The sequence below is a fragment of the Homo sapiens genome, chromosome 10 (genome assembly GCF_000001405.40).
Source record: "Homo sapiens chromosome 10, GRCh38.p14 Primary Assembly".
NCBI classification, from domain to species: domain Eukaryota; kingdom Metazoa; phylum Chordata; class Mammalia; order Primates; family Hominidae; genus Homo; species Homo sapiens.
Window position 1 is genome coordinate 20278950 of NC_000010.11, and position 17362 is coordinate 20296311.

General features: G+C 38.0%; 1 protein-coding gene across 2 annotated transcripts in view; it reads left to right on the forward strand.

The window, feature by feature from the left end:
* Nucleotides 1-10907, forward strand: part of PLXDC2 (plexin domain containing 2) — a 473425-nt gene extending 462518 nt beyond the window's left edge. For both annotated transcript variants that reach the window (NM_032812.9, NM_001282736.2), the window contains one exon: nucleotides 754-10907. In NM_032812.9, the coding sequence (NP_116201.7) occupies nucleotides 754-870 (117 nt within the window). In that variant the 3' untranslated portion in view covers nucleotides 871-10907. The remainder of the gene's footprint in view (nucleotides 1-753) is intronic.
* Nucleotides 10908-17362: the final 6455 nt, after the last annotated feature.

Below are 17362 nucleotides of genomic sequence, written 5' to 3' on the forward strand. Positions count from 1 at the left end.
ATCACAGGTTTGTTTGATGGATGGAGTGCTGAGAAGAAATGCTCTCTTTTTGTCAATACAAATAACCTGTATTTTAGGACTAGTGTCTATTGTACAATATTTGTTTCATAAGCTCACGATTGGCCACACCCTCTGATAATAGATTCCATTTTTAGGATATAACAGCTTTAATTTTCAAGCACAAAGAAATCATAGATGGGTATGCTTAACTAAATAAATAATTTCTTAAGATATTAAGTGATATTTCTTTTAGCTTATTTGCTAGGAAGTCTGGTGCCTAATTGAAAATACCCTTCTAGGAACAGCAGAATTTTTTGACCTTAGTTTTTGAGTGAATTAATGAACAAAATGAAGTGATATCAGTATTGACTTGTAGAGAAGAGAGAGTGTCTGTGCCCATATATTAAAAAATATTTTCTATTACAGTTCCTTTTTGCCTAGTTATATTTGAGCATTTCAGACATATGCATAAGGCATTAAACCTTGCTTGGGAGAAGCTCTGAATCCTTTGAGGGCAGGTGTGACAAATGGTCTTTCCTGTGACAGGGGTAGATAGCGCCATCTTGGAAATGCAAGCACAGGGCTTGGAGGGTTGATAAGGGGAATTCTTAATTCTGACTGTAGCTATAATAAGAGATAATTTAATGTGTTAATTAATTCAACATTTAATCTAAAATAGCTAGCAAATAGATTTTTCTGGTGCTAGAATCTTACCCTGACGCACATTTTTTATTTTTGTGTTTTCTGTTTCAGAGACGCCCAAGCAGATGGCCTGCGATGAAGTTTAGAAGAGGCTCTGGACATCCTGCCTATGCTGAAGTTGAACCAGTTGGAGAGAAAGAAGGCTTTATTGTATCAGAGCAGTGCTAAAATTTCTAGGACAGAACAACACCAGTACTGGTTTACAGGTGTTAAGACTAAAATTTTGCCTATACCTTTAAGACAAACAAACAAACACACACACAAACAAGCTCTAAGCTGCTGTAGCCTGAAGAAGACAAGATTTCTGGACAAGCTCAGCCCAGGAAACAAAGGGTAAACAAAAAACTAAAACTTATACAAGATACCATTTACACTGAACATAGAATTCCCTAGTGGAATGTCATCTATAGTTCACTCGGAACATCTCCCGTGGACTTATCTGAAGTATGACAAGATTATAATGCTTTTGGCTTAGGTGCAGGGTTGCAAAGGGATCAGAAAAAAAAAATCATAATAAAGCTTTAGTTCATGAGGGATCGACACCTTTGGTTCAAATGTTCTCTGATGTCTCAAAGATAACTGTTTTCCAAAGCCTGAACCCTTTCACTCAAAAGAGCAATGATGAATGTCTCAAGATTGCTAAGAAAAACAGCCCATGCAAGAGTGAGAACAAACACAAAATAAGAGATTTTCTACATTTTCAAAACAGATGTGTGGCAAAAGGATGTTGTTTTTCTGGTCTAGATCCATCTGTACCAACAAGTTCATCACTTTACAGAACGAATCTTTTTATCCGTACAGGAGGTTCAAACCATGTCTGCCTCTTCCTTTGTAATGAATGACCTTTCTATGAGCTGTGACAAAATTTCCGAACAATTAACTAAGGATTTGGGAAGAGGGGGTGGCAAACGGGGCTTTCTGTTTTCCTGCCTCAGCATGAAAACATCTGATTTATGCTTTATGGAAGCCTTACCTCCAATCCCCAACTGTTAAGTCCCATGAAACCACAGTTGCTCTGGGCTGATGGAAACAAAAGGAAACAGTATGAAGAGTTCCTTAATCATTTTTGAAACAAAAATGTTAAGGGATTTTAAACATATGATTATTTTTAATTTTATGCCTTTTCAGTACTAAACACCCATTTCATTGCTGATTCCTGTCTAAGAAGCCATTCACGTCAGCATGGCGATAGAAAGAATGAAAAAACCCTGCTGAATCATACAGTAATTTTCTTTAAAGCACATAGTAGTTACATAAATATATATATATAAATATATTTTTGTTTATAACTAACACAAGGCAGGATCTTGTGACTCTAAGAGTGCGTTTTGTCATCAAGGCAAAACAGATGCAAGATGCATCACTGCATTACTTCCATAGAGTTGTAAAATAATCCTTAATATTAGAATATTTTTCTGTCACTTAGCAAAAGTGGTTCAGTTCATTGCCGCGCCCATCATGTTCTTGACTATTTGATCCACTTTTTCGTTTATGTCAACCCCTTCCCTCTCTGGCTAAATAAAGTGGATGCAGAAAGCTCCTTAAATGGAGATATCGATTGCCTTGGAATCACAATCCTGATTTTGAAAATTCCTCATGAATGAAGAAAGGAATGGCATCCCTTGAGAAGGAAAGTGGTTAATATACATACTGAGCTCCTAAAGTTTAAATTCAGGTACTGAGTGTACAATTTCACCAACATTCTAACCCATGAAACTTTTACACTCTGTGCCAAGAAACTGTTGGCTTTTGTAAGGTACAGTGCTCAACATTTGCAGATTCAGGTCTCAAGAAGCAGAGATGTCTCATAAGCAGCATTTTCCCAACAGTTTAGCATCTGTACACATCTGCCTTGGTCATCAGTCCACTCACAGAGTACCATACTTTATCATCACAAGTGTCTGACGTGAACGAATGCCATTTTCTATTCCATATATTTTGCTTTACAATTTTAAGTATTTGATGAAGATGGTAACTTTTTCCTAACTTAGTTAACTATTAAAAAAAATTTTGAAAAGCAAGGTGATTGAAGGATTGTGATGACAATCTCTTTGCAGCAGCTATGTATGGTTTATGTGAAGTATCCCCACTTATTCTTGTGGAGCAGGTTTGGTGAGACAGCAATAACCAAATGACATGCCAATATTACTGGTGCAACTGGTATTCTACAAATGCATAAGGAACACATAGACGACTTCCTTTTAGGATAAAATGATGCTTCTTTCACTACCTTTTGTGGTAGCTGTGGCTTCCAATAGCAACTGTTTGACAGTTATATAAATCTTGCATGTGTATTCTTAGTTTGTGTCCCTTAAGTACTACTTAATTCTCAAGTAGTAATGTTATTCTTATACCCTTCAGCGTTCTATTTTGATTCAAAACAATTGATTCAAAACAATTTTGAATCAATTTTCTATTTTGATTCAAAACAATTGATAATTCTGTAAAAAAACATAAACACTGAATTCTTCAGTGAACCAAAGCAACAAATAATAGAGAAAACTTCTTGAAACTGGAGTGTGGGAAAACTTCTTAACAGAACTAAGAGTTAAAGGTAGTGAGAAGTGTGTGGTGTGTGAATTCTTTAGTGGTAAGGGGAAATGTGGGCTAAATCCTTTTCTTTCATGAAACTCTCATTCTATTTTATATTTCTGGTTTGTTCTTGTTCCCATGTGAGAAAACATACAGTTTCTGAAAATTCAAAATGGTCATCAATGCTTTGGACTTTACATAATTATGTATTAGAGAAGGTGCAACTGTACATTACTTAATATACTATGAACATAATAGAATAACAAAAAAAGATAACAAAGAGATGCAAACTTCTGGATAAATCAGATAAATGGTGCTACAGAGGAATTTAGTTATTTCAGCTTAATTATTTGTAAAAATAATAATCAGTGACTAGGTAAAGATACTGAAACTCAAGAAAAATATCTTGACCCATTTATGTCTAGTGTTCCATTATTGGAACGCTAAGCTTATGGGAGTTATTTAGAGCCTACTGCTCAAGGTCATCACCAAGGTCTGGTTGCAAAAATTCAAAAAATTGCAACCTCAGGCATAAATGGCTTAAGCCCAAGAGATGGCACTGACCATAAATGGTGGCTTGTGTGTGAAGGGTTTGGACTTCAAGATATACTAACACCTAGAAAACTAAAAGTGCAATTGACCCCCAATTACTATTTTAGTTTGAGGTATCAAGGGCATTTGCCAATCTCTTATATGTAGCTTCTAGAGTTGTGCTGTCCAATATTATATCCACTAGCCAACGTGGCTTTTGAAATTAAAATTAATTAAAATTAAATTAAAAATGTAATTCTTCAGTCACACCAGCCACATTTCAAAGGCTCAATAGCCACGCCTGGCTTGTGGCTACCATATTGGATAACAAGAAACACTTCCGTGGTTGAAGAAAATTTTAATGGACAATGCTGTGTTTCATTTGAATTCGTTGTCCTTGAAGAAAAGGGAAGAAGAGGAAAGAAACAAGATTTGGTAGCTCTTGGGCATATCCAAGCATTTTTGATTTTAGAGAGGCCCTATGGAGTAATGAAAAAAATACAAGCTGACACAGCTTTAAATCCCCACTGTGTTATCTTGGGAAAATCACTTCAACCTCCTTGAGTCTCAATTTGCAATTTTGGAAAAGAAAAACAATTTTTGTCCTGTCTTTCTTGCAAGATTATTATGCAACCTGATTAAATGTACAGATGTGCAGACTCTTAAAAACCTTATGTTAATGTAACCCATATAAAGTACGACTTTTGGTCGAGTACCAGCACAAATTTGCATTCAAAGGAAGAATAGTTCATCAGTGCAAAAAGCGTTCAAAGGTAATCAGTTCATCACGTATCTTGAGAAAAAGAGAATGCATTCAAAACACAAAGCAAAATTGCTTCAGTTTCTTTTCTGCCCATCTGAATATTTCCTTTAGTATTTGTCCCACATGACATCCATCCCATGTATTTATCCACTCTTTCACAACATTGCCTATGAACATCCTTCAACTGGCTCAGTTCTTTATTGCATAGAGCCACTTAGCTTCTCTAGTTTCTTATGATTTCCTATTTTACACTTAACAGCAAAAGGAGGCTTCCATTTAGAAGGCACTATCTCAAACATAAATAATTTCATATTTATTTTATCACTGTAACACTAAGGAGCTATGGCATTAAAATATAAAACTATTTGGAACTTAATGTAAACCTTTGCACATGCAGACTATATAAAGGGAATAAAATTATTTTAAATTATGCTAATATCCAGATACATATTCTAAGGTTAGTATCATTTATCAGTTTTTCGCAACAGATTCTTATGTTACATCTTCATGAGGGAGTATAAATTTGATCACGTCCCTAGTGTCTATTGCCCACTTGAGAAAGGTTTTGCCAGGATCCACAGATCGCTTCAAGATGCTTTCGTTTATGATAGGAAATTAATATTTAAATAAGACTAATTGAAAACTAGATTATCTGGTTCTAATTTCTTCCTCCTGTGAAATGTTCTTTTGGTTTGTATTTCTTTAGGTATTTTCCAAGTTACTGCTGCTTTTACTTCACGACCTCCAACCCCACTTTTGTTATCAGCGTCATATGCCAGAGTCATGGCAGATCCAGCCTGGACAACATAGTGAGACCCATCTCTATCAAATATACATATATATATATATATATACACACACACACACACACACACAAATATACATATATATCAAATATATATGTATATTTGATAGAGATGATAGCAATTATGTGTGTGTGTGTGTGTGTGTGTGTGTGTGTGTTAGCCAAGTGTGGTTTCTCATGCCTGTAGTCCCAGCTACTTTGGAGGCTGAAGTGTAAGAGTTGCTTGAGCCCATGAGTTAGAGGCTGCTGTGAGCTATGATCATGCCACTGCACTCCAGCCTGGGCAACAGAGCAAAACCCCATCTCTAAATAAAAAAAAAGAATCGTGAGACATCATGTAATCCAACCTCTTAATGTTACAGATAAGTAAACTGAGGCCCAAAGAGATATAGTAATAGTCCCAGTGTCAGTAAACTGGGTCTTGAACTTAAATGTTTGTTTCAGTTCTCATTGCCTTCATCTCTTAATTGTCGGCACTTAAGGCCAACCAAGCAGCTTAGACAGCGCAGTCCACTCAACGGTAACTTTATTTGCTATATTGACAATCTGCTCTGTTCTGTAATATAGAACATTGGATCAATCTTTATCTTTTTGCTGACTTAAGGAGGCTGCTATTGTTGCAATATCCAGAGATTTCAAGTTCTAGCCATTGCGGGGTCTTTGTGGTGTTTTCAATTTCTCCTCTCTCCACCCCTGCCCCCATCTGTGGCCATCTAAGTTAGCAATACAATTTATTTTGGCCATTTAAAATTTTTCTGCCTTTGTTTTATTTCTTCCCAAATATATTTGAAAATGAATGATCTATATAGCTGATTTTCTGACCACATATATAATTGCAATTTTTATTTGCTCTTCAAACTATTACAACATTTTTGTCCTTATAAGGTTTTTTGGGCAGATAATGCGAGGTCTGTGGTGTTACCTTTTATATACTCCTATTACCTTATGTTTGTGAAGCATTTTACATTTTACAGAGCACTTTGATTCATCTCCCTATTTGTTCATTTATTTAACTGTTCAGTTCACTGAAATATTTATTGAACACCTACTGGAACCAAGTGACTGTGCTAGTAACTTGTGATATACAGTAGTGAGAGTCCAGGCATGTAACCGATCATTATAATACAATAACATCCCTAAACCAGACTTTACAAGTAGATAGGATCAACAATACTCTATCAATTTTCAACTCCAATTTTCTATTCTACTTAAAATGGGAACTAGAAACTGTTTGCCTGAAGAATGTGTCTGAAACATAATATATCACTGCATGTCTGTGCTGTAGACCTGTTAATTTTATCTGTGAGAAAAAAAGTTACTCAAAATTCTCCCTGACCTAAGAATACTTTCTAGTTCACTGCAGTCTTACTGACCAGATGCAACAGTTGAAGTTTGATTTCTCGACCCAATATTTCTATTGGGTTTTGAATTATTAATATCACTGTTTTGAGGTATTCAGAAACACCAGTGTATCAAAAAAGCATTTGCACTTTAGGTGTGTGTGGTGGTTATGTCATTTATTAGACCATCCCAGACATAAGACAATCAGGGAAATCAGAAAACTCCAGCCTCAAATGTGTCTATAATTTCCTGTTCTACCATTGTCATATCATAACATGGTATTACTTCTTAAGGTTTTGATTAAGTTGATCTAGCCTCAACTTAAATTGTAATACATCTGCCTAATTATTGTCTGGAATAACTTTTCAACCATCCAATGCCCACTGCTCTCACAATGATTATTGTAGAGAAGTAAAATGGTAATTATTCAAGTAAAGTCACATAATTTCTGGAGTCAGTTTTTCATAACAAGTTTATGGAATACATCATCATTGGCTTCTTCATAATATATTTATTATGAGTGACCAAATTTTGCCTGGAGGAGCAAAATGCTCAAAACTTGTTATTATAGGTTAATTTCCAGCTCACTGTTGACACTGAAAGATTCTGTGTTACTTTAAACCCAGGATAAAAGGCTGGAAAAAAAATTAAATGTAAGTCATAAACTAGTACTCAGCTTTTCCTAGTTTCTAAGGCTTATTAACATTTGCAAATTACTCAATAAATGTCTTTCATAATGGAATAACATAAAAGCTTTTGATTTGGCAGATAGTGATATTTTATTTATTTTCATTCTGGTTGAAAAAAATCTCAGTGGCTTCTCTTCATTCCACGAGAATTTTGATTTTTAACAGCAGTCTCTCTTTTTCTCAGCATTGCAAATATATATGTATATATACATTCATGACCAAAGTATCGCTTACTGACCATGCAGCTGTAAACCTTCTGTGCCTATCAAACAAATACATAGCATGAAACTAATTTTAGAAGTTTCATGGGGGAATTTTAGGGGAAAGTATAAACCTAAGAGTGAGTGAATGGAGATGATTCATGGAAAAAAAAATAAAAATCTAAATGTGCTATTAGGCAGAGTTATTAACTTCTTTTAGTTGTTGTTTGAGATGGGGTTTTGCTCTTGTTACCCAGGCTGGAGTGCAATGGCGTGATCTCGTCTCACTGCAACCTCCGCCTCCCAGGTTCAAGCGATTCTCCTGCCTCAGCCGCCCAAGTAGCTGGGATTACAGGCATATGCCACTACAGCCGGCTAATTTTGTATTTTTAGTAGAGACGGGGTTTCTCCATGCTGGTCAGGCTGGTCCCCAGCTCCCGACCTCAGGTGATCCGCCCACCTCCGCCTCCCAAAGTGCTGGAATTACAGGCCTGAGCCACCGTGCCTGGCCGAGTTATTAACTTCTTAAGAGCAATGTGCTAATAAATACTCATTGATGACCAGCTCAAATTTAGGTCATTCAGACATCCAGACACTGGGGCACATATTCTGCAAGCAATGCTGAGACCCCTGACATAGAGAAAGCAAAGGATATGCCTATGATTAGTCTAAAATGCAGCCATCACCCCCCATACCTCTTCTATGGCATTCATCCTAACATCATGGAGGCCTTTGTCCTAGAGAATTATGTGACTTGCCCTAGAGAATTAGTGAATGACCAAAAAGAGACTTTCCATTTATCTTCCTTTGACTTAAAAGGCATGAAAATAAGGCAAAAAAATCAATAAAATAATTTTCCTGAGGAAAGGTTAAGAGATGGCACTTTCCTTTCCGGGCCCAGAGCTGGATTTCTCTGAGATTTGACCATCTCAGGACTCAGACAGACTCCAGTGCTATTTTCTGGACATTTGTGGTGAAGCCTCAGCCACCATGTTCAAGGTGGTTTGAATGAAAACATACTCAGATTGTCACATTTATAGCAGGGAAATAAAAACTCAAATTAGGCATCCTGCAGCAGGCTACTCTGAAAATAACATTAGGCAACATCAGAGCTTCACTTGCAAAGAAATGTTAAAATCATTTTAGGGAAATCAGTGAAGTCTCTTTAGAAACAGACATCTTGTGTATGGCGTAACCCAGTCTTGGGGCCCTCACGGAGAAGAGGGGGAAGTCTTTTCATTGATTGGTCAAAACAAATCTCTCATTTGCCTGATTTGAAGCATTTCAACAGTGCCTGGAGAGTACATTATTTTCAGGGGAAAAAAAGGAGAGAGTCTTTTTTATATGCCAGCTGGGATCATGGGAACTTCGAATGCCAGGAATTTACTACTGTTTCTGGTAATTCTGTGTGTAGTCATTTGAAATGTTGAAGTGTGAAAAGAGAAGAAATTGGGCACTTCTTGCGGCGGGGGAGGGGGGGGGGGCGGTGGCTTTCCAGATTTTATGCCAGTTGCACCAGCATGCAGAATATTTGTAATGCATTTCAAAGTGGATATAATGGCACCCTTTGTCAGAATCACAAAGCTCACTGCGGCACTGCTACAAGAGGACACTGAGGAAAATCTGGCCCTATGAACCTAGTCAACCCCAAGCAAAAAGAATGACTATGTGTGTGAGTGCAGCACATGGCCAGTTCGTTTCTCACTGTTTTGGAAAGCCCTGTGTGCCAAACCAAGGACGTGTCTTTCAGGGAAAGGTTAATTTTCCGAAGTTTATTAAAATAGAACTTGGAAAACCAAGCATTTTGAATTTATTCCAGTCCTCTGGGCATCATTCCTATTTCTTCTGCCATGTCAAGGAGAAATTCCAAGCCTGCATTCTGTCATGCTAAAATAACCAGCCCATACTTCTCGGTGACCTTCTGTTGAACGTACCTGAGCCTGCAAATGTAAAAATGATTGTATCTGAATCTGCACTAATGGTGTCTGAGAGCAAAAAGAGTGTGACCTCTATTGGAAACCTTTGTTCAAATTCAATAATTCAGAGATGCTACATACTTCTGCAAGCTTCCTGATTATGTTCACTGTAATATTAATGACCTAAGTTTGAATGTATTTCCTTACAGTCCATTAATTTGACATCCATCTTTTACCTGGGGATTATTACAATTGCAATAAGTCATTAATGTTTTCTTCACACAGCTTCTTAAACCAAGTTTCTCTGCAGCTCTTTCGGTTCTGCTTACAGTGTGTGGGAAATCTGATTTTTTTCCCCTAGTAATAGTTTGATAAGAAATTTAGTGTATTGACTGCCTCAGTGACACAATTTATCTTTAAAGGTGTGGAAGCTGGTGGGGACCAAATGTTACCTGTGTTTTTGCTGTTGATTGCTATTTTCAGAAGCAAACCATGTTTTTCACTTACAGTAGGAGTCAACAAATTTGGGATTTTAGAAGGGGGAGGAGGGAGCTATTTGTGTAAGACTGCTGTCATATTTGACTACATATTAAAAACAGTAAATGAGCATTTTGTTTTAATTTCTTAAATACCTTGTCTTTCAACATACGTTTTGTTTCCTTTCTTCCATTAGTGTTCAAAAGGTTCTACCCATTGTGGAAGAAATTCTGTGTGCAGAATTCAGAGGCACAAGGCTGATGGCAAGATAGAAAGTTATTTTGCTTCTAAACCCACCCCGATGTGGAAACTGATACTAGCTAGAGGGAGCTGTAGAAAACAAAGATTTCAGGATTGCACAGTGTGTGGGCAATGGGATGGAGACTTTTTCCCCTATTCCCAGCCACAGTGCCCAAGCGTTCAAGTCTCCTGGATCAGACAGATGGGATTTTAGCTGCTGCTTTAAATCCTAGTGCTGGAATAAGTCAAGGTACTTCAGTTCAGCTCTTGCCTCTGTCACTAATCTTGCTTTATGAACTCCTTTGATTTTCTGAATAAGTTCCAGAAGGTTCTCTATTATTCTGTCCTTCTTCCAAACTGGAAATGGCTGTATCTAATTCTCAGGATATTTTGGATGTGTGCCTCAGGTAATTTATGTGGAATGTGTAAAGCAAGATGTCTCCAATTCTGAATATTCCTTCCCCTTTTCCCAATCCTCCACTCTTGGACTACCTTTATAACAACACCGAGTACGCACAGACCTGAACCCATGCCCAAGAAGCACACACAATGACTGGAGCTGTCGGGAATTCCTGTCAGTGGCATTCCCTGAGCACTGGCTCTGTACAACTCAATTATAATTTTTTAAGAATCATACCTCTGTATAGATCTTTTGGACTGTACTGATTAAACTTTGATATTGTGGAGTAAATTCAGAAGTGCAATTTTAAATGGTGTGAATTGTCTTTATGATGCCAAAAAAAGGAAAATTATTAATGTGAATCATGCAATCTTCCCTAACAATAGAAAAACATTAGGCCAATGCTCTTAAAAATGACTTAGTGTGTACCATTTCTTTAAATAATTCAATAGACATTTGTTCAGATATATGTTAAAGGAAAATATGCTAATGACAATCACACAGCTTTTAAATCAGCTATAGATCAATCTCTTATAAATAAAGAGAGCAGATCTTCTCCTCACAGGTTCTCTCTTCCAAAGCACTATTTTTAGAATCAGAGTCTTCTGATATGCAGTTTGCAGTTTTTCCCCTTCAGTTTATTTTATTAAACATTTATTAAATAACTACTCTGTGCTATGTGCCCAAGTGTCCGTGTTCTTGACACCAGGGTTACAAAAAAACAAAACCAAACAAAAAACAAAAAATTTTTTGTTGATTTTCTTTTCCTTCCTTCCTTCCTTTCTTTCCTTTTATTTTATATCTTTTTTTTTTTTTTTTTGAGACAGGGTCTTGCACTGCTGCCCAGGCTAGGGTGCAGTGGTGGGATCCTGGCTCACTGCAGCCTCAACTTCCCAAGCTCAGGTGTTCCTCAGGCTCCTGAGTAGCTGAAACTACAGGCATGTACCTGGCTAGCTAAAAGAAATTTTTTTTTTGGAGAGACAGTGTTCTACCATGTTGCTCAGGCTATATCAGACTCCTGAGCTCAAGAGATCCTCCCGTCCCAGCCTCCCAGAGTACTGGGATTACAGGTATGAACCACCGTGCTCAGCCAGAATCTTTGCTTCTGATTAGCCTTCAGTGCATTCGGGGAGACAAACATTTAAATAAATATGGCAAACCAAGGACTGTAGGTCCCAGGCTATAAATTTTACGTAATGCAATGTAATGGCAGAGGAGGGAAGAGTTAATTCTGTGTGGAAAAGGCCAGGAGCTTTCATGAAGCAAGTGGTATTTGAACTTGGTCTTGAAGGGTGAGTAGGCCTTCCCCAGCCAACAGCCCATGCTTACCAGGGAGCAGGTGGACTAGGAGCTAACGGACTGGCTGTGTCAGAGGGATCCAAAAGGCAGGCAAGGAGAGGAAGGCTGGAGAGTCACTGAGGCCAGAGCGTTAGACCCTTGATGACCTCCATGACTTTAGAGTTTACCTTCTAAGCACAGATGCACTTGGTAGCTTTGAAGAACCCCAAATATTTCAGAAAGATCACCTCATAAGCACAGGAATAGATGAATTGCATAGGAGAAAGCTGGGAGGCCGTTCTGGACATAACTGCTCAAATCTGACTACTGCTTCCTGAGGACTATCCCTTCTTAGTTCTCTGATCGTCCTCTTCATGTCTTCAGTCCTCTATTAATAAAAACCCAAGCCCATCAGCACATATGCACTGCCTTTCTCCCCTCGCAGTCACCCCTTCCAGCAAAATATATATTCCCTTTACCCCAAAGTCATGGCACAACACAATTGGACAGATTTTCATGTGAAATCAGCCAGACCTCCCCAGGTTTACATATCTCTTTATGCAAGAACTCCCTTTTTCATTTTATTATTAGTATTATTATTATACTTTAAGTTTTAGGGTACATGTGCAAAATATGCAGGTTTGTTACATATGTATACATGTGCCATGTTGGTGTGCTGCACCATTTAACTCGTCATTTAGCATTAGGAGATATACCTAATGCTATCCCTCCCCACTCCCCTCACCCCACAACAGTCCCTGGAGTGTGATGTTCCCCTTTCTGTGTCCATGTGTTCTCATTGTTCAATTCCCACCTATGAGTGAGAAAATGCAGTGTTTGGTTTTTTGTCATTGCGATAGTTTGCTGAGAATGATGGTTTCCAGTTTCATCCATGTCCCTACAAAGGACATGAACTCATCATTTTTTATGGCTGTATAGTATTCCATGGTGTATATGTGCCACATTTTCTTAATCCAGTCTATCGTTGTTGGACATTTAGGTTGGTTCCAAGTCTTTGCTATTGTGAATAGTGCCGCAATAAACATACTTGTGCATGTGTCTTTATAACAGCATGATTTATAGTCCTTTGGGTATATACCCAGTAATGGGATGGCTGGGTCAAATGGTATTTCTAGTTCTAGATCCCTGAGAAATCGCCACATTGACTTTCACAATGGTTGGACTAGTTTACAGTCCCACCAACAGTGTAAAACTGTTCCTATTTCTCCACATCCTCTCCAGCACCTGTTGTGTCCTGACTTTTTAACGATCGCCATTCTAACTGGTGTGAGATGGTATCTCATTGTGGTTTTGATTTGCATTTCTCTGATGACCAGTGATGGTGAGCATTTTTTCATGTGTTTTTTGGCTGCATAAATGTCTTCTTTTGAGAAGTGTCTGTTCATATCCTTCACCCACTTTGTGATGGGGTTGTTTGTTTTTTCCTTGTAAATTTGTTTGAGTTCATTGTAGATTCTGGATATTAGCCCTTTGTCAGATGAGTAGGTTGCAAAAATTGTCTCCCATTCTGTAGGTTGGCTGTTCACTCTGATGGTAGTTTCTTTTGCTGTGCAGAAGCTCTTTAGTTTAATTAGATCCCATTTGTCAATTTTGGCTTTTGTTGCCATTGTTTTTGGTGTTTTAGACATGAAGTCCTTGCCCATGCCTATGTCCTGAATGGTATTGCCTAGGTTTTCTTCTAGGGTTTTTATGGTTTTAGGTCTAACATGTAAGTCTTTAATCCATCTTGAATTAATTTTTGTATACGGTGTAAGGAAGGGATTGATTTTCAGCTTTCTACATATTGCTAGCCAGTTTTCCCAGCACCATTTATTAAATAGGGAATCGTTTCCCCATTGCTTGTTTTTGTTGGGTTTGTCAAAGATCAGATGGTTGTAGATATGTGGCATTATTTCTGAGGGCTCTGTTCTGTTCCATTGATCTATATCTCTGTTTTGGTACCAGTACCATGCTGTTTTGGTTACTGTAGCCTTGTAGTATAGCTTGAAGTCAGGTAGCATGATGCCTCCAGCTTTGTTCTGTTGGCTTAAGATTGACTTGGCGATGCGGACTCTTTTTTGGCTCCATATGAACTTTAAAGTAGTTTGTTCCAATTCTGGGAAGAAAGTCATTGGTAGCTTGATGGGGATGGCGTTGAATCCATAAATTACCTTGGGCAGTATGGCCATTTCCTCGATGTTGATTCTTCCTACCCATGAGCATGGAATGTTCTTCCATTTGTTTGTATCCTCTTTTATTTCATTGAGCAGTGGTTTGTAGTTCTCCTTGAAGAGGTCCTTCACATCCCTTGTAAGTTGGATTCCTAGGTATTTTATTCCCTTTGAAGCAATTGTGAATGGGATTTCACTCATGATTTGGCTCTCTGTTTGTCTGTTATTGGTGTATAAGAATGCTTGTGATTTTTGTACATTGATTTTGTATCCTGAGACTTTGCTGAAGTTGCTTATCAGCTTAAGGAGATTTTGGGCTGAGACAATGGGGTTTTCTAGATATACAATCATGTCATCTGCAAACAGGGATAATTTGACTTCCTCTTTTCCTAATTGAATACCCTTTATTTCCTTCTCCTGCCTAATTTCCTTGGCTGGAACTTCCAACATTATGTTGAATAGGAGTGGTGAGAGAGGGCATCCCTGTCTTGTGCCCATTTTCAAAGGGAATGCTTCCAGTTTTTGCCCATTCAGTATGATATTGGCTGTGGGTTTGTCATAGATAGCTCTTATTATTTTGAGATACACCCCATCAGTACCTAATTTATTGAGGGTTTTTAGCGTGAAGGGTTGTTGAATTTTGTCAGAGGCCTTTTCTGCATCAGTTGAGATAATCATGTGTTTTTTGTCTTTGGTTCTGTTTATATGCTGGATTACATTTATCGATTTGCGTATGTTGAACCAGCCTTGCATCCCAGGGATGAAGCCCACTTGATCATGGTGGATAAGCTTTTTGATGTGCTGCTGGATTCGGTTTGCCAGTATTTTATTGAGGATTTTTGCGTCAATGTTCATCAAGAATATTGGTCTAAAATTCTCTTTTTTGGTTGTTTCTCTGCCAGGCTTTGGTATCAGGATGATGCTGGCCTCATAAAATAAGTTAGGGAGGATTCCCTCTTTTTCTATTGATTGGAATAGTTTCAGAAGGAATGGTACCAGCTCCTTGTTGAACCTCTGGTAGAATTCGGCTATGAATCCATCTGATCCTAGACTTGTTTTGGTTGGTAAGCTATTGATTATTGGCACAATTTCAGACCCTGTTATTGGTCTATTCAGAGATTCAACTTCTTCCTGGTTTAGTCTTGGGAGGGTGTATGTGTCGAAGAATTTATCCTTTTCTTCTAGATTTTCTAGTTTATTTGCGTAGAGGTGTTTGTAGTATTCTCTGATGGTAGTTTGTATTTCTGTGGGATCGGTGGTGATATCCCCTTTATCATTTTTTATTGCGCCTATTAGATACTTCTCTCTTTTCTTCATTAGTCTTGCTAGCAGTCTATCGATTTTGTTGATCTTTTCAAAAAACCAGTTCCTGGATTCATTAATTTTTTGAAGGGTTTTTTGTGTCTCTATTTCCTTCAGTTCTGGTCTGATTTTAATTATTTCTTGCCTTCTGCTAGCTTTTGAATGTGTTTGCTCTTGCTTTTCTAGTTCTTTTAATTGTGATGTTACGGTGTCGATTTTAGATCTTTCCTGCTTTCTCTTGTGGGCATTTAGTGCTATAAATTTCCCTCTACACACTGCTTTGAATGTGTCCCAGAGATTCTGGTATGTTGTGTCTTTGTTCTCATTGGTTTCAAAGAACATCTTTATTTCTACCTTCATTTTGTTATGTATCCAGTAGTCATTCAGGAGCAGGTTGTTCAGTTTCCATGTAGTTGAGCGCTTTTGAGTGAGTTTCTTAGTCCTGAGTTCTAGTTTGATTGCACTGTGGTCTGAGAGACAGTTTGTAATAATTTCTGTTCTTTTACGTTTGCTGAGGAGTGCTTTACTTCCAACTATGTGGTCAATTTTGAAATAGGTGTGGTGTGGTACTGAAAATAATGTATATTCTGTTGATTTGGGGTGGAGAGTTGTGTAGATGTCTATTAGGTCCGCTTGGTGCAGAGCTGAGTTCAATTTCTGGGTATCCTTGTTGAGTTTCTGTCTCATTGATCTGTCTAATGTTGACAGTGGTGTGTTAAAGTCTCCCATTATTATTGTGTGGGAGTCTAAGTCTCTTTGTAGGTCACTCAGGACTTGCTTTATGAATCTGGGTTCTCCTGTATTGGGTCCATATATATTTAGGATAGTTAGCTGTTCTTGGTGAATTGATCCCTTTAGCATTATGTAGTGGCCTTCTTTGTCTCTTTTGATCTTTGTTGGTTTAAAGTCTGTTTTATCAGAGACTAAGATTGCAACCCTTGCCTTTTTTTGTTTTCCATTTGCTTGGTAGGTCTTCCTCCATCCCTTTATTTTGAGCCTATGTGTGCCTCTGCACGTGAGATGATTTTCCTGAATATAGGACACTAATGGGTCTTGACTCTTTATCCAATTTGCCAGTCTGTGTCTTTTAATTGGAGCATTTAGCCCATTTACATTTAAAGTTAATATTGTTATGTGTGTTTTGTGTCCTGTCATTATGATGTTAGCTGGTTATCTTGCTCATTAGTTGATGCAGTCTTCTTCTTAGCCTCGATGGTCTTTACATTTTGGCATGTTTTTGCAGTGGCTGGTAGCAGTTGTTCCTTTCCATGTTTAGTGCTTCCTTCAGGAGCTCTTTTAGGGCAGGCCTGGTGGTGACAAAATCTGTCAGCATTTGCTTGTCTGTAAAGTATTTTATTTCTCCTTCACTTATGAAGCTTAGTTTGGCTGGATATGAGATTCTGGGTTGAAAATTCTTTTTTTTAAGAATGTTGAATATTGGTCCCCACTCTCTTCTGGTTTGTAGAGTTTCTGCTGAGAGATCCGCTGTTAGTCTGATGGGCTTCCCTTTGTGGGTAACCCGACCTTTCTCTCTGGCTGCCCTTAACATTTTTTCCTTCATTTTAACTTTGGTGAATCTGACAATTATGTTTCTTGGTGTTACTCTTCTCGAGGAGTATCTTTGTGGTGTTCTCTGTGTTTCCTGAATCTGAATGTTTGCCTGCCTTGCTAGATTGAGGAAGTTCTCCTGGGTAATATCCTGCAGAGTGTTTTCCAACTTGGTTCCATTCTCCCCGTCACTTTCAGATACACCAATCAGACATAGATTTGGTCTTTTCACATAGTCCCATATTTCTTGGAGGCTTTGTTCATTTCTTTTTATTCTTTTTTCTCTAATCTTCCCTTCTCGCTTCATTTCATTCATTTCCTCTTCCATCACTGATACCCTTTCTTCCAGTTGATTACATCAGCTCCTGAGGCTTCTGCATTCTTCACGTAGTTCTTGAGCCTTGGCTTTCAGCTCCATCAGCTCCTTTAAGGACTTCTCTGCATTGGTTATTCTAGTTATCCATTCG